Source organism: Homo sapiens, chromosome 4, assembly GCF_000001405.40.
Source record: "Homo sapiens chromosome 4, GRCh38.p14 Primary Assembly".
Lineage (NCBI taxonomy): Eukaryota > Metazoa > Chordata > Mammalia > Primates > Hominidae > Homo > Homo sapiens.
The window spans coordinates 14,087,339-14,112,550 of record NC_000004.12 but is presented as its reverse complement, the minus strand read 5'-3'; the positions used below and the strand labels follow the sequence as shown (position 1 = coordinate 14,112,550).

General features: G+C 39.9%; 1 long non-coding RNA gene across 1 annotated transcript in view; it reads right to left on the bottom strand.

The window, feature by feature from the left end:
• LINC01085 (long intergenic non-protein coding RNA 1085) overlaps positions 1 to 583 on the bottom strand; it is a 28,085-nt gene extending 27,502 nt beyond the window's left edge. The window contains exon 1 of the long non-coding RNA NR_033931.1: positions 374 to 583. This is a non-coding gene — a long non-coding RNA (long intergenic non-protein coding RNA 1085). The remainder of the gene's footprint in view (positions 1 to 373) is intronic.
• Between the last annotated feature and the right edge of the window lie 24,629 nt (positions 584 to 25,212).

Genomic DNA, 25,212 nt, shown 5'->3' with positions numbered 1-25,212 from the left:
ACAGAAAAAAGAGACTTAGACAAAGGGCACTGGGCCAAACCTGAGGTAGAAAGAAAAGAGGTTTTCTGCCATCAGTGGGCATCATCATTTCACACTAAGGCCACCCCTCCACGATGAGTCTTGGAAAAAGTTTTTGTTTTATCTGACTGAGTTCTTTTTTTGTTTTCTACATAGGAAGAATCCCAGACAAACATGAAAATTCATTCCTTTCCTTGTTGCCTCCAGTGAAAAGAGATGGAGATGAGGGAGAAATTTACTGTTTACTCTTTTTTTTTTTTTAAGGTTTTTCCTATTTTCTTACTCCCCCCTGAGCAAAATACTCTGCAAATGGTCTCCAGGCTCTCAACAACAATACTCTGTTTCCATTTCTTACCGCATTTCCTTTCTTTCCCAGGACTCTTCTGACAGTGCCAAGTTGCACGCTGGGTTGTCATAGAATGTTCTGAAGTCGTGTAAAAGGAACTGGCACAAAGGAAAAAAAAAAAGAGTTTTTCTCCTACTCTGCTTAAATTAGTCGTTGCCTCCAGCAGCGATATCCATTTCCTTTCACTTTCCTGGTCTGGCTTCTTCTTCTTTTTCTTCTTCTTTTTTTTTTTTTTTTTTCCTGCAGATATTCTGATTTGAGCTCAGCACACACATTCACCCCAGAAGTTCCCAGGATGCCAATAAAGATCCTTGCCAGCAGATCTTATCATGTTCCTCTTGAAACGGTTTTGTCATTCTTTGGATGACTGTAGAACATCTAGTCTCATACATGCCTGTTTTTTTATTGGGTTTCTGCACAGTCACAACCCAATAATGCACAATGGTAAGATGCCCCAACTGACACAAAACTAAAGAGTCAAAATGCTCTCCGTTGTCAATTGCTGCTTAGCTCAGAGGCTGTTCCAAGATTTGCCTTGAGTTCAAAGAATTGACCCGAGGTGCATTTATCTTTGAAAATACATATTCTGTACAGCGCTTCTTCCTTTTGCCTGGGAAAGTCCTGGTTTGTGCCTATCACCCAGGAGTAATCATTTATAGCACCCATTTCATTCTCACAAGTGTCTCAGTTTGCACAGCAAGTTCCATAGTCAGCAAGGATACAGTATACATTGGAGACACAAAGATACAAAAGACAGTATCCTTGCCTTAGAAGAGCTCAGTCTTTTTAGAAAGACAGGTAAGTAGATGATTATAATATAAGAGCTAAGATAAAGATATGAATAGAGTTATATGACTTTGTCCCACTGTCTCTATGTCCCTTCTGTCCAGCACACTGTCCAGAACACAGAGGCGTTTGGTAATTTTATTGTTGCTGCTTTTGTTTTAACCAATCACAGTGTTCTTTCTATAGACAGAATTTTCCCAATAATGGGCCATTCTCCCTTTCTTCTGCTCCATCTTTTCTTGCTCCATTATTTTCTTCCATAACTCTTGAGTCTCCTGGACATATAACCTCAAAAAAAAAAAATAATCAAGAGCATGGACGAAAATCACAAGGGTAACAAACTGACATGCTAGCTCTGAGTCCCTCCTCAATCTTTGCATAAAAATCACAGGAGGTGCTGTTGCTGCCTCTTTCCACATGTTCTGTAGCCCTGAGTGCCAAGATACATCTGCCCCTGATGGCCCCAATTTGTAGTTTTTCCAGCTGTTTCTGCTTCTGCTGCCTTGGCTACTGGTAATATAGGCAGGTCTCGCTAATAGTACTTAAGATCAATACTGATGTTTTATCCAAATATGGTCAAGTTAATGCTAGGATTGAACTAATGGCTCCTGCTACCCCCAGGGAGGGCATGATCAGTGCCAAAATCACGGGCTATGGCCTCAGACTTCTGTGGCCATGCATAGGGCCCTTCTTGAGATGAGGGCAAGTGCTTCTCCACCCCAGTTATAACTCTTCTTATTCTCTGAAAAGGATGACTTCACTTATCATTTACTCATAAGATCCTCTTGCAAGCAACTCTTGTGTATGACTCCCACAAATGAATCATTCAAGCTGGGAGGTTCCATCTGAGTAAAAATGCAGCCTCCATGTACAAATGTTAAATGTTCCTGGGTTTATTTTCTATGTTTAATTTTTATCAACTTTTTAATTAAAATGTCATTACAAATTTAAGACAGAAGGAAAGGGTAGGAGAGAGGCCAGGATGGGAGAAGCGTGTTAGAATGTATTGAGTTGTGTAAGCTGTTTCTTTATTTCTTTACGCTAAAGTGTTCTGAATTTCTGACATTTTGATATTTTTAGTAGCTTCAAATCCTGAAGTTTGTGAGTAGAAAATTGTGAGGCACTGACTTGCCAAGTGGCAAAGAAATAAAAACAAAGATAAAAACCAGAAAAGTTAAGTGAACAACTGCAATTCTGTGAGAAAAAGGCTAAAGCTGAGATGAGAACAGAGACTTTTGAGGGCACAGAGGCAGGTGTCTAAATGGGGCATGGAGGGACACAAGAACATAGGATGTTATCATCTCTCAGTTTCTTCTTGTGTTGTTCCCTAAGATATCTTGTCTCCTAAGATTGTTAAGTTCTTCCGTGGAAAGGACAGTATTTTATTTCTCTGCCTCATTTGTCCATATTACTTTGTAGTGCTTAGTACAGTGGAGAAGCTTCAGACACAGGTGGTTGCTCGCTTGTTTGATTGATTGAATAAAAGAAAAGAGAGAGGAAATGAGATAATCTGGAAAAGTCCTAGAGTGGTTGAGTATTGCTGTCAAGTCCGCCAGTAATTCTCCGTGTGACCTTGAACAACCATTTACCTCTTAGTTTTTTCAACTGTAAAATAAGTATGACCAGATAATCACCAAGTTCCAGACTAGTTTTAAAACTTCATGAGTCTATAATTGTGACTGTTAGATCAAGTTAAAGGAGACATTGTAGGGCTTGATAACGCATACACAAAAGCCATTTTAAGGGCTGAACTTGGACCTTGGTTTCTCTATTATAAATCAAAGATATTAGAATAGATTATCTTTTTTATTGCCTCCTTCCAAAATACAAGAAATATCTGAATCAAAACGCTAATCTTCATCTTCAAAAACCAAATTCCAGTGACATAATATCAGTCCTCAATAAGGAAAAGGAATAAACTTTATTCACATATAATTCACTGGCCCATGGATAAGAAACCTGTATTTTCAGTAGGTTCATTTTTATCTAAACCGTAAAATCTCAATTCTGTCTCAAACATGGTATTTTCCCTTTCAATATAAGAGGCAATTCATTTTATTGTTACTTGAAACTAAAGGAATCCAATAAACTGGATTGGAGCCAAAGAAGACCATAATGACAAAATGATTGATCCTTTTATAATGCTATTCTAAGATTGGAGAAATGCAATATAGACAATATTCATTTATATCACCAACAAGTATTCATCTCTGTAATAGAATGTAATACTCCTTTGCATTTATTAAGTACCTGTCACCACTAGAAATACAAAGTAAAAGGGCTTCACTGTTAATTTGCAGGCATGGTCAAATATTATTTGTTATGCCCCCACTGACATGAAGAATCTATATGGGAACTTGAGGCAGAAATGTCAGCTCTATTGCATAGTGAGAACAATAAAAATGGTGTATCTGGGATCCATTGGTGGAAGCAGAAATTAAGTAAGCAGATAGTATTTGAAAATAAGGACAAAAAATGGATATTTTAAGCAACGGGAGCTGCCCAACAATGGAGGCTGGCAAAGGGTGTTAACCCCAGAGATGAGGCTCTAGACTAGTTGTATTACATGCCACCTTGGTAAACCTTTGCAGCACCCATCTGAGACAAATCTTAATTTCCATCACACAGATGAAAAAGCAGAGTCTCAAGAGAGTTAAGCCCTTTTCCTTGAGCTATTGAGCTATTACATGATTAAGCCAAAACTTGAAATGAATTTTGACTGATCCTAAAAGCCTATGTATTTTCATTATGTTACAGTGCATTCATGAAGTAGTTTCATTTCATCACCTAATATTCTCAAAGAAAGGCCAGCTGATAAAAAACAATAGGAACAGTAAATATTTTTTGAGTTCTTAGAGTCTACCATCCTTGGTTGAGAATGGTCTTGGACTATTTGAGGTCTTCAAGAACACCTCCCTCTCAATTATTCTGTGCTAACTTAATGGGACAGGTGTCCCATTAAGAGTTGACTACTCTTCCAAGCCTTCCTCAGACTCACTAAGATCCTGTGATTTTCAAGTTTCTCCCAGCCATCTACCAAGGCAATGCTGGGGAAACATCTCTGAGCTTACCCCAGCTCAGACATTCAAGAATGTCATGCCATTCTTGAATCCTTGTAGTTAAGAGGACTTATCACCTCCCCAAAACCATGCTCACTAAATTTTGATCTATGATGTGCTGACTTGTTCCATCTTTGTACAGCTCTAACTCCTAGAAAATGTTCTATATATTCATTTGAGTATTTTTTTATAATTTCAAACCACTTAACTCTTTTGTCATTTGAAGTCAAACAGAAAAAATTAACATGAGCCTTTAAAGTACTTCAGAAAAAACATATACTTTCCCAAGAGCATGATGGTGGAAATGATGAAGGTGTCACCCAGACACAAGCTCACTCTTAGTTTGCTTCTTGCCTGTGCTATGAGTACTTGATCATAGGTAGGTTATTTTGCCTGCCAAACCCTTCTACACGAGGCCATAGATTTCTTCTCTGAAAAATGAATGGGTTGGATGTAATGAATTTCTGAAGCTTCACCCATGATGTATTCTAGGTGAGTCTCTTTGATCCTTCAGAATAAACAGAGCTAGTTTATTCATGCCCTGCTCTTGCTGTCTTCCAGGATTTTCACTGGGAAGAGGAATTTAGTCCTTGTACACATTTTGCCACATAACCTAAGGATCCTCCCATAAGGCACTTTTCATCTTGTTCTCACCACCTAATCTCAAGGACCCAGAGCAATAAAAACTGTCTCATCCCCTTCTCCCACAAAGATATAGCATTGCATTTCAAATGTGCTTAACTCTAAACACACACCATTACCATCATCATTAGCAGCCTGGGCCTGAAACTTTTATTAATATTTCTAAATATTCTCCGATCAGAGTCTCTTTTATGTATTAACAGCTTTGTTGAGATATAATTGATATATGTGAATAAAAATCACACAGCTAATATAATACTCAATGGTGAACATATGAAAGTTTTTCCTCCAAGAACAGGAACAAGTTGAAGATATCCACTTTCATCAGTTGTATTCAACATGTACTGGAAATCCTAGCCAGAGCAATAGGACAAGAAAAAGAAATAAACATCACCAGAATTGGAAAAGAAGAAGTAAATTTTTCTGTTTGCAGATGACATGATCTTACATGTAAAAAAAAACTAAAGACTTCACAAAAGAACAATTAGAACTAATAAATCAATTCAGTAAATTTCAGGACACAAAATCAGTATATAGAAATCAGTTATATTTCTATACATTAAGAATGAACTACCTAAAAATGAATTTTTAAGTAAATCCCATTTATAAAATTTCAAAAAGCATAAAATACTTAGGAATAAACTTAACCAAGAAGATAAAAGACTTGTACACTAAAAACTACAAAACACTGATGAAGAAATTAAAGAGGACACAAGTAAATGGAAAGACATCTTGTGTTCAATGATTAGAAGACCTAGTATTCTTAAAATGTTTATACTACCCAAACTAATTTACAGATTCAATGCAATTCCTTTCAAAGTACTTTAAAAAATGAATGCTTGAGGTAATCTTTATATTTTGAAATACTTTTTTATCATAAAATGCATTATAGGTAATAATTTTTAATTTCTTGATTACTGCTTGTACTAATCAATGATCCATGTCACCAAACTTTGAAAATTCTGACCTTCAGGAAGGTAACCCACACAAGGAAATTGTTATAATTCCAACAATAAGTGGAGGCAGTTATTATGGGCATTGACCATTTTGATATTGATGCTGGCCAACATCTAATTCTGTTTGATATTTTGATACATTTAATGGTTTATAAGCCCTAACTCATCTCTTTACTAATGCTCAGGGACTGAAGACAACAGATGGGGAGCTTCTGTTCAAAGCCTCCCATGCCCTACTGTGCACTCTAAACTTACAACAGCCTTGTGTTATAAAGACTTCAGCTTAAACTACTAAGGGAGATCACAGGTGGGTGTAGGAGAGGGTAGGCAGCGGTACTGTCTGAGGCAATCACTTACCTTTGATAGAGACAAACAAGGACAGAGCACTCCAGGTAGTTTGTGCTCTGTCAAGTGGGTGACTTTTTGATGCCATGTCAGGCAAAGATTGGGTTTTTCCTGATCACAAATGTTGAAAGTTGATTCTACTTCCCCAAAAATTAAGGTTGAAGAGCCTGAAATTGGGAAAGGGAACAGGTTTCCCTTAGCCCTGTGCTGACCAAGTTCTGGAATTAACTGCAAATGCTTGATTCTTATTCCTCAAGGCACTTTATGACTCTGTAAGGATCAGTGTGGTTTCTCCATGCTCAAATTGTCAGGGGCTGTATTACCCAGAGAAGCTCACTCTTTAGAGCTGAAGAATCCTTAGACTTCTCTTTGCCTTTCATGTTTATTTGAAACAAAATTCAGCCTCCATTCACAATTGTGCTGACATTTTAAACTTCACTTTTCTGTTGTGCAACAAAAAATACTTTTCCCCATCCATTTTATGACTGCTGAAATGTTCCTGGGATTTTCTCTGGTAAAAATGCCTCAAATGACCCAGTACACCATCCAAGAATTTGACTGAGAATGGAAGATGAAGATTTTACATTGAGTTTAACCAAATCTCCTGTGATGGACATCTAATGTTTTAGTCTAACCGCTATCTAATTACTTCTTTAGTGACAGCCCTCCCTCCTTTTCTTCACTCCCCCTAAAAGATAAGCATCTGACCCAAGATGGAACAATGATACTATCTCACATCTCAGGTGACAAGAATTAGTTCACAGAGTGGAATGGCATTCCAACATAGATCAGTCAGTGACCTCCCATTGTATGAAATGCGTTTTTTCCTCTCAAGTGGTGAAGACCTGAGTGACCGAGCACAGAAACTTCTAGAAGTTGTCTTTCCAGCCTTCTAAAGAAAGACGGTCTGCAAGAGGAAAGGTTGAAGCCAGATGCAGAGAAAAGCAAAGATGAGTTGAGGAAAGAGAGCCCTTCTACATAACCTTCTACATTCAAATTCCTACCTTTCCCACTATAGATATCGATTTCAATTAACTCAAGTTTGAGTTATCAATCTTGCTACTAAAAGGTGTCATGAATAGAATAGTTGTTTGGCAAGAGATGTTCTTGATACAAAGCAAAGGGGAAAATTTGCGGACTGTGGCCAATATGCCCTCCTGAGGTCTAGGTTCTACTCCTATATACTTTTTCCAGCTGTCTCCACCTCATCAAGCCACTTAACTTCTCAGAATCACATTTTTCTCAACAGAAATACATAAATAAATACATATATATATTAACCATGTCTTTTTGTTTTCTATATTTTTGATGCTTTGACATCTTGAAGGCTTGCTGACTCTGGAAGGATTGCCTTTCCCAAGACTAGCTAATTCCTGCAAATAAAGGACTTGCCTAGGAGTCCTTCATTTGCAAACCAGCCAATACAGAGCCCATACCCTTGACCATCTCATTTATCAGGCTCTAACACTTCAGGTCACTATTCCTCTGCCCTAATCACCCCAGTGCCAACACCAGGCAACTAGGGACAGCTCCTATGCCCCCAAAGCTACTGAAATGATTCAAACTAGACAACCCTAAACTACTTACTCTACTTCACCTGTTCCTTCCTAAGAAAGCAACAATAAAGGCTCTTACCCCAGTTTTCCTCTTGCTCTCTCTGCCTCCTGATCAATCTTAGTGCTTTCCCGTGTGGCCCCTGTGGCATGGTGGGCTTCCTCTTTTTGGGAACTGTAATACATTATCTTATCTGGCAATTTTCTCCTGGTCTGTTGGACTCACCACCACACCTGAATATTAATAAAACCTAAATTTTAAAAGACTACCTCCCAAGACTGAATGAGAGGAAAGCACCTGGAGTTATGCTAGGTGTGGTGGATTTTGAATATTTAGCTATTCAATCAATGTGAGGAAAATACTAATGACTGTTAAGATTAGAAGGCAATTTGAGAGTGACAAAAGCTGTTGCACTTTGGATCACAGTGGTTGATACTCAAATTGTTTCCTTACAAACCTTGAGAGAAATACATTCTTTAATAAATGTGTGTGATAAGTTTTATCTCATTTACTCATGCTATCGATATATATTAAGGGCCTTTTCTGTGCTAGAGCAATGAACCAATCAGATATTTTGTCCTGCCCTTGTGAAACTTAATCTTATGCTTTAAAGATGTTGAAAAGTGTAAGGCTACAAAAGTGATATATACTGTGGACACTAAATAAACACTGTAAATGATGACTGGGAACTCCCCTTCCTCTTGCTTAAGGGGATATAGAAAAAATAATAATGTTTAAGATTATTTTCTGTACTTTAAATAGTCCATTCTTCTATTTGTCCTATATTTTTCTGTTATTAATTTTATACCTAACTTAATAATATAATCGTCTAAGTAATAATAACCTATATATAATCTAAATAATAATGCTTCAAATGCATACAGTGCTTTACAGTTTACAACCCACTCACAGGTACTAGAAACTGTGCATGTTGAATATTAACTTACAAAGTACTTTAGTCTGGCCCACCCCTAACATCTGCTTTTTGTTTGTTTGTTCGTTTGTTTTTTTGTTTGTTCTGAGACGCAGTCTCACTCTGTTGCCCAGGTTGGAGAGCAATAGCATGATCTCGGCTCACTGCAACCTCTGCCTCCCAGGTTCAAGTGATTCTCCTGCCTCAGCTTCCCGAGTAGCTGGGATTACAGGCATGCACCATTGCACCCAGCTAATTTTTTTTTTTTTTTTTGTAAATTCAATAGAGATGGGGTTTCATAAAATCTTGATGCTCAGATCTGAGCAGTTAAACCGAGTACTGGCTAGAACCAAAGCTCTGACTTCATCCAACCTCAAATAGAGAGTAATTAAGGTTTGGCAGAATGGTGCTGTTGCCATTGTTGAATTAATACATAATAAATCACTGGGCCATAGTTTGGATATCTCTGAAAAACAGACAGATGGTGCCTATGATATTCTCCCTGATATTCTCTGATCTTGGAAAAGTTACACATCACACTGTACCTACCAAAAATTAAGTCTATAGAATGTATGGAGGGAGCACCATGAAGATCAAGATCTCTCCAGCTGTGATGGTTAAGGATGAAAACTGTCTTACCTACATGCTCAAGTCATACTCTCTTTACTCAGCTGTGCTGTAGAAGGGAGGTGGACTGTCAAATCCACGTCTGCAGCTGCTGTCTCAATGTTGTAAAAATTAGCATTTCAGAAGACAAAAGATACTCACTGTCCAAATCAGATTTCTTCACAGGTGAAAATAAGGAATTTTCTATTAGAAGCAACACTCTTCTGAAAAGCCAGTCAGAGCAGCAGCCTGAAGGGAAATATTACCGGATTCCAAGCAGTCAGCACTGTGCTCGTTTTCTCGGCCTCAGGGACTCTGCTCAGCCTGAAAGCAGTGCAGAATTACACCACCAATTTGCAAGCAAGGGGTCTTGAATATTACCAACCAAATACCTGAAGCTACCCCTGACCCCTGACCTGCCATCGTTGAAGTGGATCTTGGCTGCTCCAATTTTGTGTCAAGAGAGTGCACGCACAGCAAAAAGAAGGAGGCTGTCCTTCTGCTGGAAGAAGAGGGCCCAAGGGATCCCAGTGGAGGAAACTCTCAGAACCAGAAAACCAAGACTTTGAAAAATGTTGGTAACTGACACACTTTCACACAGGCAAAATTCATGCACGTAAAGCTCATAAGTTGTTTGGGGAAAAAAAAAATGCTGATATCAAACCACTTAAGCAATCCTTGATGGCACCATGCTTGATTGAAGAATAAAATATGGTGCATCCCCGTGGGCACACTGTGCTGACTTCACAAAATTGCTACAGCTGAAAGCCCAGGGAGGCCTTTCAGCACAGTGATGGGTGAATCTCCTGAGGTTTAGAGTTCAGGTTCAGTTTGGGTAATGGCTTAGCTGCTTTTATGCTTCCTGAAGCTTAATAGAGTCTGGGGGAGTAAGAGGGGGTCAAAACAAGGGAATTGCTTTGAGCAGGGGATTGCAACTGCACAGATTAGAAAAACAGAAAGGATGGCCAGAGAGGCATGACCTTAGCCCAGAGATGGCACGTGGGGGGATTGCCAGGGCACTAGTCCTTGGCTACAGCAAATGAAAATGGAGAAAGATAAGGTGCCTGCTCTCTTGCTTCTTATTCTTAGGCCTTGAGTCAAGTTAAAAACATGAAGGTCATATATACAGTTCCCTTTGATCCCACCTGAAATGCAGTTAGAAATGTGCCTCATGTTTTCTGCCTGCACAGTGTTTCACCCATTCCTCTGGACTAGCAGTGACCCACAGTACCGTATCTTTCATCCACTCAGCAAATGTATTGTAGGGCCCATCCCATGCTGTACAATGTTTTAATTGCTGGCTTTAGAGCCAAATTACCTAGGTCCAAACCCCAACTCTACCACTTATTTCTAAGTTACCTTAAATAAGTTATTTTACCTCCCTATGTCTCAGGTCCTTTCAGTAAAATGACGATAATAATGTATCTGCCTCATAGAGTAGGTTAAGAGGATTGTTGAGAAAATTAAATGAGTGAATATATGAAAAGTGCCAAGAATAGTGCTGGGCATATAATCAGGCCTATATCGGTGAGGAAAGCAGACACTCATCAATTAATTACCAAGAAAGTGAAAAATTATATCAACTGTAGTCTGTATTATGAAAGAAAAGCATATGGCTCTATGAAAACACCTAAAAGGGAGACATGGATTAATCTGAGAGCGGGAGAATTGAAGAGAGTTACCCAGAAGTTTGGAAGTGGTCTGGTCCACTTAATTTCAAGCTGGTCCACAATCATCTACCTTCCCCTAGACAAGTGGTTGGTAAACTTTTTCCGTAAAGGGCTTGCCATAAATATTTTAGGCTTTGCAGAGTATAAGGTCTCTGCTGCAACTTCTCAACTCTGCCACTGTAATGTGGAAGTGAACATGGGCAATGTGGATTGCCTACCCCTGCACCAATTGTATTTCCAGGCCTTAGACCCTGTCTTAATCATCTTTGTATCCACAGTCTCTGATACCGAAAAGGCTTTCCACGAATGTTTGATGAAGAAATAAAAGATTAAGTAAGCAATACAAGTACCTACTCAGGAGAATACCTTAATCCCAGGTTTCTATTAGGAATATTGAGGGGTCAAGATACACTATAACTTAACTCTTGCCTGTCAGAGAATGTTTCTCTGATAAATCCACCCTCAATGCTCATTATAACAATTACTATGATATTGTTGCCTCTATTTTCAGCACTCCATCTCAATGAAGTCATCACAGTATTATCTTATTTCACATTTAATTTCAACCCAGGAGTTTAAAGAAGGGGTTATTTGCTCCTTTGAAATAGGGTAAAGGAAACCTAAAAAGAGATTGATATAGTTTGGATAAGTGTCACCTCTAAATCTTATGTTGAATTGTAATCCTCATTCTTGGAAGTGAGGCCTGGAAGGTAATAGTATCATGGGGGCAGGTTTCTCATGAATGGTTTAGCACCAGCTGCTTGGTGCTGCCCTCGTGATAGTGACTGAGTTCTCATGAGATTTGATCATTTAGAAGTGTGTAGCACCTTGCCTTCCATTCTCTCTCTTGCTCCTGCTTTCACCATGTGATGTACCTGCTTCTGCTTCACCTTTTGCTTGAGTAAAAACTCTCTGAGGCCTCTACAGGAGCTAAGCAGATGCCAGTGCCATGCTTGTACAGCCTGCAGAACCCGTGAGCTGATTAAACCTCTTTTCTTTACAAATCACTCAGCCTTGGGTATTTCTTTACGGCAAGGCAAAAATGGCCTAACAAAGAGATGTTGCTTTCTAATCCTGTACTCTTGGACCAAATCCAGCATATGTTTCTAGCTGAGATTATCAGCTTTTGTTCAGAGATAACATGCTTTTCCTTCCATAGCTTTATGTTGTTGCTGGGAAACAGCTGCTCAGAATGATTCTATCCGTCTGCGACCCCCCACCCTTGCATCTGAGATGATTTGACTAATTCTCACCAATAAAATGTGAACAGGAGAGACAATTATTACTTTCAGGACAAGGAGCTACAGATGTGGCATGCCTTGCTCACTCTTTGTCTCCATCTCCAGATGAAGGTGGAGGTTTTCAAGGCAAAGAGGAGGATGGAGCCACAAGATTCACTCACTACATAGAAAGCTACACATTGACCAGGAACACTCATGTATTAGAGTTCTTCAGAAAAACCGAGCCAATAGGGCACACGTGCACACACACACACACATACACACACACACAATGTTAGCTCACAAGGTTGTGGAGGCTGAGAAGTCCCATGATCTGCCTTCTACAAGCTGGAGACCCAGGAAAGTCTCTCTTGTAGATAGAAATATACTGTTAAAATGTGCCTCTAGTTAATGCATCCAAATTATTACTGTAAAAGCATGGGGCCTACCTCTTTAAGCCAGTGCAACTCAGTTGTTCTGAGCGCTGAGATTCTGGATTTCCATGGCATCCTTGGGAAGCCTACTTCCTTATACAGTAAATAAGGGCTTTGAGAGTAGACAATGAGTTTTGCTTCATAACACCATGTGCAAATGAGGGTTGCTTGTCTAAAAAAAAAGCAAAGTCCTGAAATACCTGCAGCAAAGGTATCTCCATAAAAGATTCCAAATAACAGAGGTCTTCTGGGCTGCCTAGAGTCTAAAAAAAGGTGTTAAGCACCTTAGGTGTCTGTGTGCCCATAGTATGGCAAAATCTCCTCACCATAGAGGGTACTAACTCTCTAACCTACACACAGACTCACACTTTGATAGCAACAACTGCAGTATTAGAACAAGGAAATCAGTCTGGCTCTGAATCGCAGCTTTGACGTCAAGTTGGAGTGTGCCTTTGGGAAAGTCACTTTTTGGGGTGGAGCTTCATCTTCCTCACTTCTAAATAAGATGTACTCTATTCAGCTTTTTATTGGAGGAAGTGGGGAAAGGTTCTATATCACATGCCCTTTTGAGATTCTGAAGAAAAAACCATAGACTCAGGAAAAATACATCTTTTTCATACAATATCACTGAGAAACAGATTTCCTGAAGCCCATCCATCAATCCCATATCTACCCCTGGAATTCAGGTACAGAATCTCTGGGATAGACTCCCATCTGGCAGTAAAATTCTATGACTCTAAGGAGAAAAGACGCAAAAGTAAGCAATAAAATCAATGGCAAAACCCTGGGAAGCATGTAACGCAATCCTGTTTTTCAAAAGGTTCTGATTTCTGAGCGGGATAGTTGGCTTTAATTTGCATTTGATTTCTGTATGTGCTTTACAGTATAAATTCTAAGTAATTTGATGAATGGAAATCTCCCCTGTGTCCACCTGTCCCTCTCCATAGCTCACCTGTAATTCTCTGCAAGCCTCCTAGCGTCCCCTCCCTACCCTGAATACCATAGCACATGCGACGCAGCAGGCCTGCCCCATAACTTCCCCAACACCCTCCAGATCCTTTTCACTCACCTCCCTTCATCTTCATTGCCATTGCTATCCCACGTCTGCTGTCCAGATACAGTCCCATTTTTAATTTACTCATTTTATTTATTATTATCTCTTTTTCAAATATATTGAGGGTGACTTATAAAATGGAGAAAGTTCTACATGTATTCTAAACATAGAAAAATAAACTTGAGATTACGGAAAGATGCAGAAGGGAGACATTTGAATCATAGCTGTTAATAACATAACTGCAATTCCTTGCAGTTAGGACACAAAAGAAAATCTAACATGATTTTCCTTATAGGAAAAATAGAAACAGACACATTCCTCATGGGACAAAATTACATTTTTAATTCTGCTGCTAAATTCTGAAAGAGATTTCTCATGTGAGCCCTTATGAAAATAACAGCATGATATAATAAGCAATATTGTTAGAATATTAACATTTATATGCACACACATTTCCTGGATGTTTGTTGAAGGCCTAGCAAGCCACTGGTTCCTAAGGATCTGAAGCACAACCCAGACGTTCTAGACCTCTGTTGAGATTTGTGCAAGATACTGACTATAAACTAGTCAATTCCAGAACATTAAGATAAGTGCAATGGGAAATACAGAGAAGGAAAGTTGAGGACACACCTGCAGAGAACAGCACATTTCATTCAGTCATATGCTCATTCAGTCAGTGAGTTATTACAAAACATACGTTGTCTTCCTGGGCCAAGCAATGCTGGAAGCCCATAGGATATTTCAGTGAACAAGATGGGAAATGTCCTCACCCTTGGGGAGCTTAACTTACAGTGAGGGAGATAGAAAACAAAACAATTAACGTGTGTGTGTGTGTGTGTGTGTGTGTGTGTGTATGCATGCGCATATCTATGAGGTCAATGATGTTTTAAAAATCAGGAAAAATGAAGCAAGAGAAAGAGAGGGAAAGGAAGAGAAAAAAGAGACCAGAGTTGCTAATTTAACAATGACATTCAGCCAATTCCCACCAAAGAAGATTATTTGAGCAGAGGTCAGAATAAAATGAAAGGCAAAGCATGTAAATATCTGAAGAATAAAAGTTCCAGGCAAAAGGATCAGAAATCACAAAGGCCCTATTTTGGGCTGAGTTTTTGTTTTTTTGTTTTTTTGTTTTTTTCAAAAATGTTATATGTTGAAGTGCTAAACCCCAGTACCTTAGAATATGAATGTATTAGGAAGTAGGGTCTTTAAAGAGCTGATTAAGTTAAATGGGGTCAATAAGGCGGGCCCTAATCCAATATGACTGGTGTCCTCGTAAGAAGAGGAAATTAGGACACAGTCACACACAGAGGGAAGAACACATGAAGACACATGGAGAGGAGACATAGCTGCATGCCAATGAGAGGGGTCTCAGAGAAAACCAACCTTGTCGACATCTTGATCTGTATCTTCTGGCCTCCAGAACTGGGAAAAGATAAATTTCTGTTGTTTAAGCCATGTAGTTTGTGGTATTTTGTTATGGTAGCCTACAGAAAAAGAATACAGATCTAAATATAGAAATTTGTTTGGCATTTATGGTGATGATCCGATTGCCACAGCAGAGTAGGGGATAGATGGAGTGGAGGTCTGAGTGGAGGTCCTCGGAGGCTGTGAGGACACTGTGGGTATCCAGACTCATAAACCTTTGTCCCAACTCTGTGTTCACCTGCTGCTATAGGGGGACTCATCATCCATGCTGATAGAGTCACACCCTAAAAACCTGCCTTCTCTCCCCTTGGCTGCCTGGCAGTTTTCTCCCACACCATGGAGAGGTGTTGAATCCAGAGTCAGGGCAGGCTTCATGTGCCAGAAGTTTAATGTGCCCCAGGTCAACCCTCCACCAATGAAGAAAGGACATGGTGGATAAGTGCCCAGATTCACCATCCCTTGATGGAACAATTCTTAGCATGTTCTATGAGGTTCCTCAGAGAGTGGTGAAATCCCAGTTCCCCACAATGATAACCTATTCATCAGGATACTCTTTCCCGGCTTTCTTTCTTCCCTGTCTCATTTTCATCCCAATATGCTATTTGAATTCAAGCCCTTGTTTCAGAGTCGGCTTTGGGAATATCCCAAACTAAGAAACCATTTTGGACTTTGTTCAAAAATTGTTATTTTTGGAGAATATTGAAGAAGGACTTAACATGACCGGATTTTTCATGATTTAAGAATGTTTTTGGCTATGCCTTGGAGAGATGAGCAACTTAGGTTGGAACTTGAACAATGCATAAGATTTTTAGGAATTTCAGTTAAAAGAATGCAGCATGTAAAAAAGTTATTTTTAGATCAAAGTTGGGTACATCTGCAGGGAGATGAGAGCCAGCTCCAGTGAATCTGCCTGAGAAAATCACAACTGAGTGTGGGTGACAATGCCATCTCCTCCTCTAGGCAATGCCTTCCCTTGTCTCTAGCAGTGACATTTAGACCCGATATCTGGTACAAGATTCAGTTGCCAAAAGTTAAAAGCAAGTAAACTAGCAGTTAGCCAAGAAAGCTGTTATTTATAATGTATAGATGAAGAAACTGAGTCCTCAAAAATAGAAGTAACTTACCCAAGGCCAATCACCACAAAGCCAGGCAAGTTTTGAAGAACTTACTTTTCTTTACATTTCTTCTAGTACCTAACAGATATGGCACTGGGTGCTCAGCAATATTGATTGATAAATAAATGAATGAGCAAGTTATAAGCAACAATCCTAGTTCACTCTCTATTTCTTGATGCCACACTAATGTCCAGTCAAGTCGCAAATATCTGTTCACTACATTCTCTAACTCTTCCTTCTCCCATCCTGTATTGCAGCCCTCAAACTAGGGCTGTGTCTTACAGGGACTTCCTGAACACAGCTTGGAAAGAGGCCATGAAGACAAACAATGAAGGATATAAGTGAATTAACATTTCATGAGAGCCCACTTGGGGGTCTGGCACTATTCCTGGTACTTTATATACTTCTTTGGTCTTCCACATTTTAGAGATAAGAAAACAGTGGCCCAGAGATGTCAAGACTTGCACAATGACACAAAACATTTGGAATTGTGAACCAATGAGTCTGACCCCAAAGGTCAAACACAACAGATACAACAGACACTGTGAACAAAAAGTGCAGCTGAACATAGACTGTGGTGCCTGTGTAAGACCAAAATAGTTTCCAAGAATCAAACAAAATATAATAGGTGAGAAGGCAGGCCCATAGAGGACAGAGAACAGGACTGAGAGTGAGGCAACAAAAGTTCCCATCCAAATGTCACCAACGACCACTGTACGACATGGAAAAGTTACTTAAGTTCTCTATGCTTTTGTTTCTTTATATATAATATGGAAACTTTAATATCTGCTTTAACATAGAGTGAAGTTGTACTGATCTGCTTTGCTAATAATAAGGCACAATTCAAATAACAAGACAAAGGTGGACAAGATCATCTATTTCAATTTTGCCCTCTTCCCCAGCACAAGCACACATGTCCCAGCTCAGATATGTGAGACTCCTCTATAGCAAACCTGACACACAGTTTTCAGTCATTGTGTTAAAAGACATTTTCCTTCATGAAATTATTCATTTCACTGAGGAGTAGCTGTTAGGAAGGCCGGTTCATCTGCTTTCAATGTGGTCATCTCCCTTTGTCATCTACACACTGATTTTTCTTATAGCTTAGACATAATTCATGTATCACATTTGGGAAATTGCTTAGCCTTTCTGTGCCTTTGTTTCCTCATCCACACCATGAGTGTCTGCTTAGATATTCTGTAAGTGTTCCATCAGCTATAAATTCCACAGCTCTGTGTAAGGAGAAAAAAAGGAGAGATGTTTCCTTTGAATGACCCTGCTGTCCCCAGTCTAGTGTCTGGCATTAATCAGGAATATCAGACACAAGTGGCTTCTGTGGGATAAAAGGCAGGTTCATTGTCAGTCCATGGGCAATGGATTCCAACACTTGTTTGGAGGGTTGCTTGGGGCCTTTGATATAATTGATGGAATTTCTGTTTCATGAAAGTCAGAAATGAGCCAGAAACCAATTATGAACATTTTGAACATGGTCTAGCCTAATCCCATCTTTCTTCCTGCCAGTAACCTAAAATTGACAAGCAAAGGAGCTCTCAGTTGCCCCAATATAACAGGAAAACAGCACCAGAATGGGAAGGAACACCCAGGATTTTATTAACTCAATTAAATGTCTGACAAATAAGGTGCTAAATTCACCTCCCAGGGTTTCCATTTTTTCGTTTGTCAAATGGGACCCTGATCCTGCCTGGCCCGCCTCACGTAGCTGCCAGAAGAGTGATAATAATTGGCCCAGTTTACATTGTATTTTACAACCTATGATACACATGAAACAACCACTAACATGAATTGAATGCATATAGGCCCATTAGGAGGAAGCTTTTCACAGATCCCTTTTGGCCCATGTTCAGGGGAAAAAGACCTTAGTTAAATCAATGTATAGGAGGGCTGGTGGGAAAGGGGAAGGATTGGCATTTGGAATGTGCATCAGTCATTAACACTTTAGTAAGAATAAATTTCCAACCTTTCCCTAAGCAGGCTTGGAAAAGGGATATGTGAAGATGAGGCCACATTGGCTACAGAAAGCTCTAAGGAGGAGAGGGCGAAGGGAAAGTGTAGATAATATAGGGAACAGGACCCTCTTGCTCCAAGAGGCAGCCTAGAATCATAGCATTTTGGAGTTAGACTAAATCTCATCTGAGATGGCAGCTCCAGTGTTGTAGAGTCTGCATTTAGTCCATTATGTAACCCCTCTGAGCTCAGTGTTCTTATCCATAAACAGGGCTGTATTCGGGGCTGCTGGGAAAATAAAACAAGTCAATGCATGTGGAGGGCTGCCCAGTGCTTGGCCTGGAGAGATGCTGGTGTGTCATGACTCTTGATCCTCTTGCAATGCTGCTTGGGCTAACTGCACTGCAAGAAGTGGACTGGTTTCTAGATTATTGGAAGATTAGAACCAGGAAAGAGCTTCAACACTGCATAATTCTGGCCCTGGGTTCAAAAGTGCATCCTGGGCCCAGTTTTGCCCATAACTTGCTCAATGTTCTTTGGGGAAGCCCAACCATCCCTCTGAGGCTTCACTTTTCAATCTCTAAACACAAAAGTTGGATAATTTCCCCCATTGAGATCCCTTTTGCTTATAACAATCACAGAAACCATTGTGCGCATGTGTGCTAAGAATGGGCTTGTGAGAGCAAACATTTACTTGGGTGTTTACTATGCCATACCCCAGCACTTGACATGTTGAAGCTTTTTAGTCCTCAGTACAGCCCTATGAGACAGGCCCCTTCATCATCCCCATTTCTCAGAAGAGGAAACAGAAGCACAGAATACTTAAACAACCACCTTGAGGTCAAGAAAATAAAGTCTTCCATATTAAAAACCAGGCAGTGTGGCTCCAGAGCTCAGACTCCCTTTTACACAAATACTCCTTTTGAGGTAAATATTCATCTATCCCCATTTCACAGATGGATAAAACTGAGTCTCAGACATTCTCCAAGAGACTCAGACAAGTGGCAGATCCAAGACTCACAGCCAAAGTTTTCTGGTCCCAACACTTGCTCTCTTGAACAATATGGGAGAAGATGCCCTTACCAGGAATTGTGCTCCATCTGGGATCCCACTGAGGTTTTCTCTGTATATGGCACTTCATCTCCTGGCTTAAGTCTGCCCTGACCAGGGCTCATGTTGTTCCATCCAGCTTCCTCTTCCACCCGACTTCTAAGCTGGTTGAGGGGGAGGGAGTCTGCAGGTGAATGAGCAGATGCCTTTATTTTAGATTTATGAGATTCCGGATCAAGTCCCCGAAGAAGCAGATTAATCACAAGAAGTTATTTTCCTTTTAATTAAAAAATACTATCAACAGAGGCTCCAGACCTGCTGATTCTTGGAGCAGACAATAAGGGTGAGCATAGCAAGTGAGCAATATTAATTTCCCCCAACTAATTTAAAGATAATATCCCTCACATGTGCCAGTGACTCACAAATCTGTTTGTGTACCAGCCGTCCTTTACCCCGGGGCTCTGTTGGGTTTCCTCTAACTTCTTGACTATTGGAAGCATCCCCAAGGAAGGAGACGTGCAGAATACAAGGCAAGGGATGCAACTAGATAACCAGCATCTGCATTGGGAACAACAGTCATCTGGGAAGCTGAATGGAAGCACTTTTAGTAAAAACCTGAGAGAGCACCTTCTTCTCAGGGAAAGCATGAGCTTCTGGGCTCAGTGCTGACATGATGTGACCGTGGGCTATGTGTTAAATTGTGCCCTGCTCCCCCATTGATATGTTGAAGCCCTAATGCCCAGTACCTCAGAATGTGACTGCATTTGGAGACAGGGTATTTAAAGAGGTAATTAACTTAAAATAAGGCCATTAGTGTGGGCCTTGGTCAAATATGACTCTTAACCTTATAAGAAAAGGATATTAGGACATAGACACACACAAGCTGGGGGACCATGTGAAGACACAGGGAGAAGGTAGCCATCTGCAAGCCAAGAAGAGGGTCCTCAGAAGAAACCTACTCTGCTAACACCTTGATTTCAGACTTCTAATCTCTAGAACTATGAAGAAATACACTTCTGTTGTCTAAGCCACTCAGTCTGTGGTAATTTTGTTATGGCAGCACTACCAAACTAATAAATTCGGGCAGGCCTATCTCTGGGAAAGTCTTCACATCTGCACAGTAGGAAGACGAATAGAATTGATCTCCAGGATCACTTCTTGCCCTGGATTTCTTAGCTGTGCTATCAGAGTGACCATGAAGTTTGCCTGATCATCCTCTGACACCCTGCCAAGAATAACATAAAGATTTTTAAATACTTAGTAGACTTCAAAGCAGGACTGCTTCAGTAAAAGACAGCCATTCCCTTCTGTTCTCCAGGCAGGCTCAGAAATCCAGACATCCCCAAGATCCACACCTAAGTGAAGCTTTCTCTGACCTCTTTTCATGCTACTCCCCTCTCCCCTTCCTCTCTGTCCCAGGTTCATAAAGTATTCTTCCTCTGTACCCATAGCCCACCACATTTACCACACTATAATGACATTGCTTGCTTGGCACCTTTGATAGGTGGATTGCATTAGTGGCCACAAATAATTGTCCTTCTATATCTCTGTACTTGGCAGCAAGACTTTGTACCTTCTCCTATCAAAGCATAGAGTCTATTTCCCAACCTCTTAAATCTAGGCTGGTCTTATACCTTGCTTTGCTCAATAGAATGCAGCAGAAGTGACTTTGCCCCAATTCCAAGCCTATGCCCCAGCAGGCATGCACAACTTCTCTTACTCTCTTAGACTTCCATATCTGCTACTAAGACAAGCTAAGGCTGTCTTCCTGGTGAATAAGAGTTCACATGGAGGACAGACCAGATTTCCCAACCAAGGTTATTCTAGACTAATCTTCAGGTAGTCAGTACCAAAACAAATGAAAGAGCCTAACCAGGATCAGCAAAACCACCCACCTCACCAAAGCTGACCCTTGACTCATAGGTGAGTATAGTTGAAACCAGAAGAACATCCCAGCAAAGCCCAGCCTAAACCGCTAATACACAGAATTATGAGCCAAAGGAACAGTTGTTTTTAAGCCATCAAGTTTTGAAATACTTTGTTACACAGCACAAACTAACCAATAAATCATTTTTCTTGCCTCTTCTGCTAGAAAGTCAGCATCTTACAAGCAGATGGTGTTACTTAGTCATTTGTGTAAAGTATGCATTAGAGTAGATGTGTGACGAAAATGTATAAGTGAATTGTTTTCATATACTCCTCTGTTCCTACATGATTATGGGAGATTATAGTTTTCAAATTGGAAGCAACGGTATTTCTCATTTCAAATATTCTTCTGTAATATAACTTTGCCTCATTCCCATCAGAAGTTGCAGTCCATTCTCCAACCCCTCAGATCTGGATGGTCTCTATAATTGTTTCGATTAACAAAATATAGCAGAAGTGACACTGTGCAAGGTCTGAGCACAGCCTTTAACTTATTTGGTACTCTTGAAAGCGAGCTGCAATAGAAGAAGAGACACTGCCATGTAGATAAGCCTAAGTCATGTGGGGAAACCTTGGAAGAGAAGTGACATGTGAAGGGAGAGAGGGAGGCAACAAGGACCACCAAGGCACCAGGCATGGAAGTAAAGATGCCACTGTGGAAGTGGACCCTCCAGCCTTAACTCTCCCAGCTGGTGCCGTGTAGACCAGAGACAAGTTGTTCAGGCTAGTCCTTACCAATAACCTGACCCACAAAATTGTGAGCAAAATAAATGGTTGCTTTAAGCCACTAAATTTTGTGATTATTATATGGCAATAAATAAACAAACATGGATAGCATGTTGCAGTAGGAAATCCAGCTCTAGAGCCATTAAATATAGATTCATATGCTGTCTTAACTTTTTACAACAATGTGCTGATGGGAAGCTCACTTAAATGTTCTTATTCTCAGTGTTCTCATCTACATGATAGGGATGGATTCAATCACTCAGTAAAAGTCCCTTGAGAGCTTGGAGGCAACACAGTAAATAAGCTTCAGTTTCTGCCTTCAGGGAGTTTACACTCTGCGGAAACAAGGCAAGAGGCCAGAAACTCACAGAGCAGGGATATCAGTCCTTCTATTGCACTAAGTACAGAAACACTGAAATACATGGTAGGGGTGGGAAGAGTACTGGATTCACTCCTGGGGCTGGTAGCAGAAGTGATATAATATAATCTAGACTGAGACTAATAATGCAAGGAGTTAAAAAAGGGGAGGAGAGAGGGTGAGGTCAGAAAGAGGATATTTAGGAGGAAGAAGAAGCATGTCTAAGAGTTCAGAGCTAGGAAAAAGCATGAGATCTTAGAGAAGAAAGACCTTACTGAATTGGGAATTGATGAATACATAGGATATATATTCCCATTTCAGGTTCATTATTGCAGATTTGACTTATCTAACAGAACCTAAAATGAACATCCTAGACATAGATTATGTGGTCATTTCTAACCATTAGGAAGGACATGACTAGATGAATGTACCATGGAAAAGTCATTTTAATCATTATTGAGATAAAAACAGAATTTGGAAGAGAAAATGGTTTCACAATTCAGGAAAGGATTGGGGAGGCAGCAGAGAATATATAAGATGGTTTAGAAATATAAACTTTTGTTTTTGTTTTAAATAGAAAAATTAGGACTCAGAGTGCTAAAAAAATGGAGTCTTTTTGAGTTGGGAAGTGTAGCTCCCTAGAACAATTATCAAGGAGAATGAATGTTATATCATGCTGTTTCAAGCTCTGTGTAAATTATACCAGCTTCAGGAGTATATCCATTTAATACAGAGACAGAGAATAGAACAGTTGAACAATCATTGAATTGGGGTCTGAAGGTTACAGTGAGAAGTTGCAAGCACAAGAAGTATGATGCCCAACCTAAGAGGGGAAGAACAATGTCCACACAACCTGCTGGGAATGGAGTTCCAGAAAAGCAGATCCTCAACCCAAAGGAAGTAGGGTTAGAGGAAACCCCGCCGCTACCACCTTTACTCAGAGGCTTTGGGTCAGACCGGAAGATGAGTTTACCAGTATATCATTCAAGAGAGTAATCCTGGAGAAGTTGCCTGGGCTTTTGCCTTGGATCAGCTATAAACCTCTCAAGAGGAGAAAATATCAGGAAGGTAAACATTGCAAGTAAATGACCTTAACAAAGTGAGAAATCAGTGTTACTTTCTTGGGCATGGCAGGTGTCCTGTCTGCACAATCCCTTCTAGACCATATTCTGGATTCTAGGAACCTGAAATTATATCCCCAAATGGCCCTAAGCCTGCTTCTAGAGTCTGCACAGGCCTCTTGCTTAGGTCTGCCCTAATAAAAATTAATCAGGAATGAACCAAAAGCACTTCACACACAATTATGTGTTAACCTCAGATCCTCTGAAATTGTATCATCTACTCAGACGTAAGTCATTCCCTAAGAAAAAGAAAATGCAGAGAAGTTTTCCTGACTTCCACATACCCCAAATATCTGGACCAGTCTCAGAGTAATTCAGTAGGTGTTGTGCCCCTAAATATTAAGTGAGAGGAGCTGCTTAGTGCAGAAGAACACATGCATAGAACCATTAAAGCCTGCCAAGATGAAGAAGCAGAGAACAAGTACCTTTGTTTAAGTATACCTTTTCATGAATGTGTGAAGAGTATGGACAAGAGCAGATATTTGCAAAGTACATTGTGCACAGAGACACACAGAAAACAAACTAACTTCCCCTGCACAAAGGGGCCACAGTTATGTCACCCTTCCAAATGTTCAGGTCACCCTCTGAGGTTTAAAACAGGGAAAGTGCAATAGATGAGGCCATCCATAAAAGTAACTAGGTATTAACAGCTAAGTTTCCCAGGAGATTTAGGAAGTCTCAAATAGAGACTTGGAGAAACATGACAGGAATGTGATTATCCCTTTAAAATTTGAGCTTCACAAAGTGAAAAGTTCTGTTTTTGAATTACAAAAGAGGCAACAGAGAAATGATACTTAGCACAAAAGCAAGAAATAGATGAGAGGGAGAAGTGACATTGATAAAGTAACTATCAGGTGCTGGGCATTTAGCACAATCACTCAATAATTCAGTGAGGTGGGTGATATGATTCCCATTTTATAGGAGGCAGAAGATTTAAAAACTTAAGACACTGGGCTAAGATTACAAATCTCCTTATTAGCGGAATTGGGATTTTAATCCAATGACACAAAATAAGAGTTAGACAGAAATGTCTGGTCTGGAAGAAAAGACATCTGGATAAAGCATTTGACAATTAGGTACTCATGACTGGCATCATCTGTCTCTCATTGCTGAGATGTTATTATCATTCACCAAATAACAATCTGAATATCATTTGGATTCCCATGGAAACTAGCCAGTAGGGAAAGAACTGGCTGCTCAGTGAGGCCACATATAGCAGATGCACTTGAAGATGACCTCTAACAAGTCATGCCCTTGTATGTCCCCTCCCCTTGGATGTGAGTGGAACCTATAACTTACTTATCATCAGTGGACTACAGCAAAAAGAATGGCTGTCATTCCTGTGATTAAATTTGTTACATAAGAGTGCCTCAGCAGACTGGAGTTACAAAGCTTCCTCTGACAGCTACTAAATAAAGTTTAGCCTAAAGCTGCCCCCTTAAATATTTTAAGTTCAGCCTATATGTTTCTTTGTACATAGTAAACTATAACCTAAAAGGAGATGTAAACAGACTATAACCTACTCTTGTGCCAATCACCAAGTTTCGGCCAATCAAAGGAAGTCAACTGTTCAAAACACATTCACATATGTTAAACACAGAGTTGTAACCAATTTGGCTATTTCTGTACCTCACTTTCATTTTCTCTACATCACTTGCTTTTTTTCTGTCTATAAATATCTTTCCATCATGTGGCTGCACTGGCATCTCTCTGAGCCTACTCTGGCTCAAGAGGCTACCTGATTCACAAATCATTCTTTGCTTAATTAAACTCCGTTACATTTAATTTGGCTAAGGTTTTTCTTTTTTTTTTCTTTTTTTTAACATGCCTTTGACCAATATACCTGATAAACATCAATGCAAAAATTCCAAACACAATATGGCAAATTGAATCCAGCAGTGTATCAAAAAGCTTATCAACCAC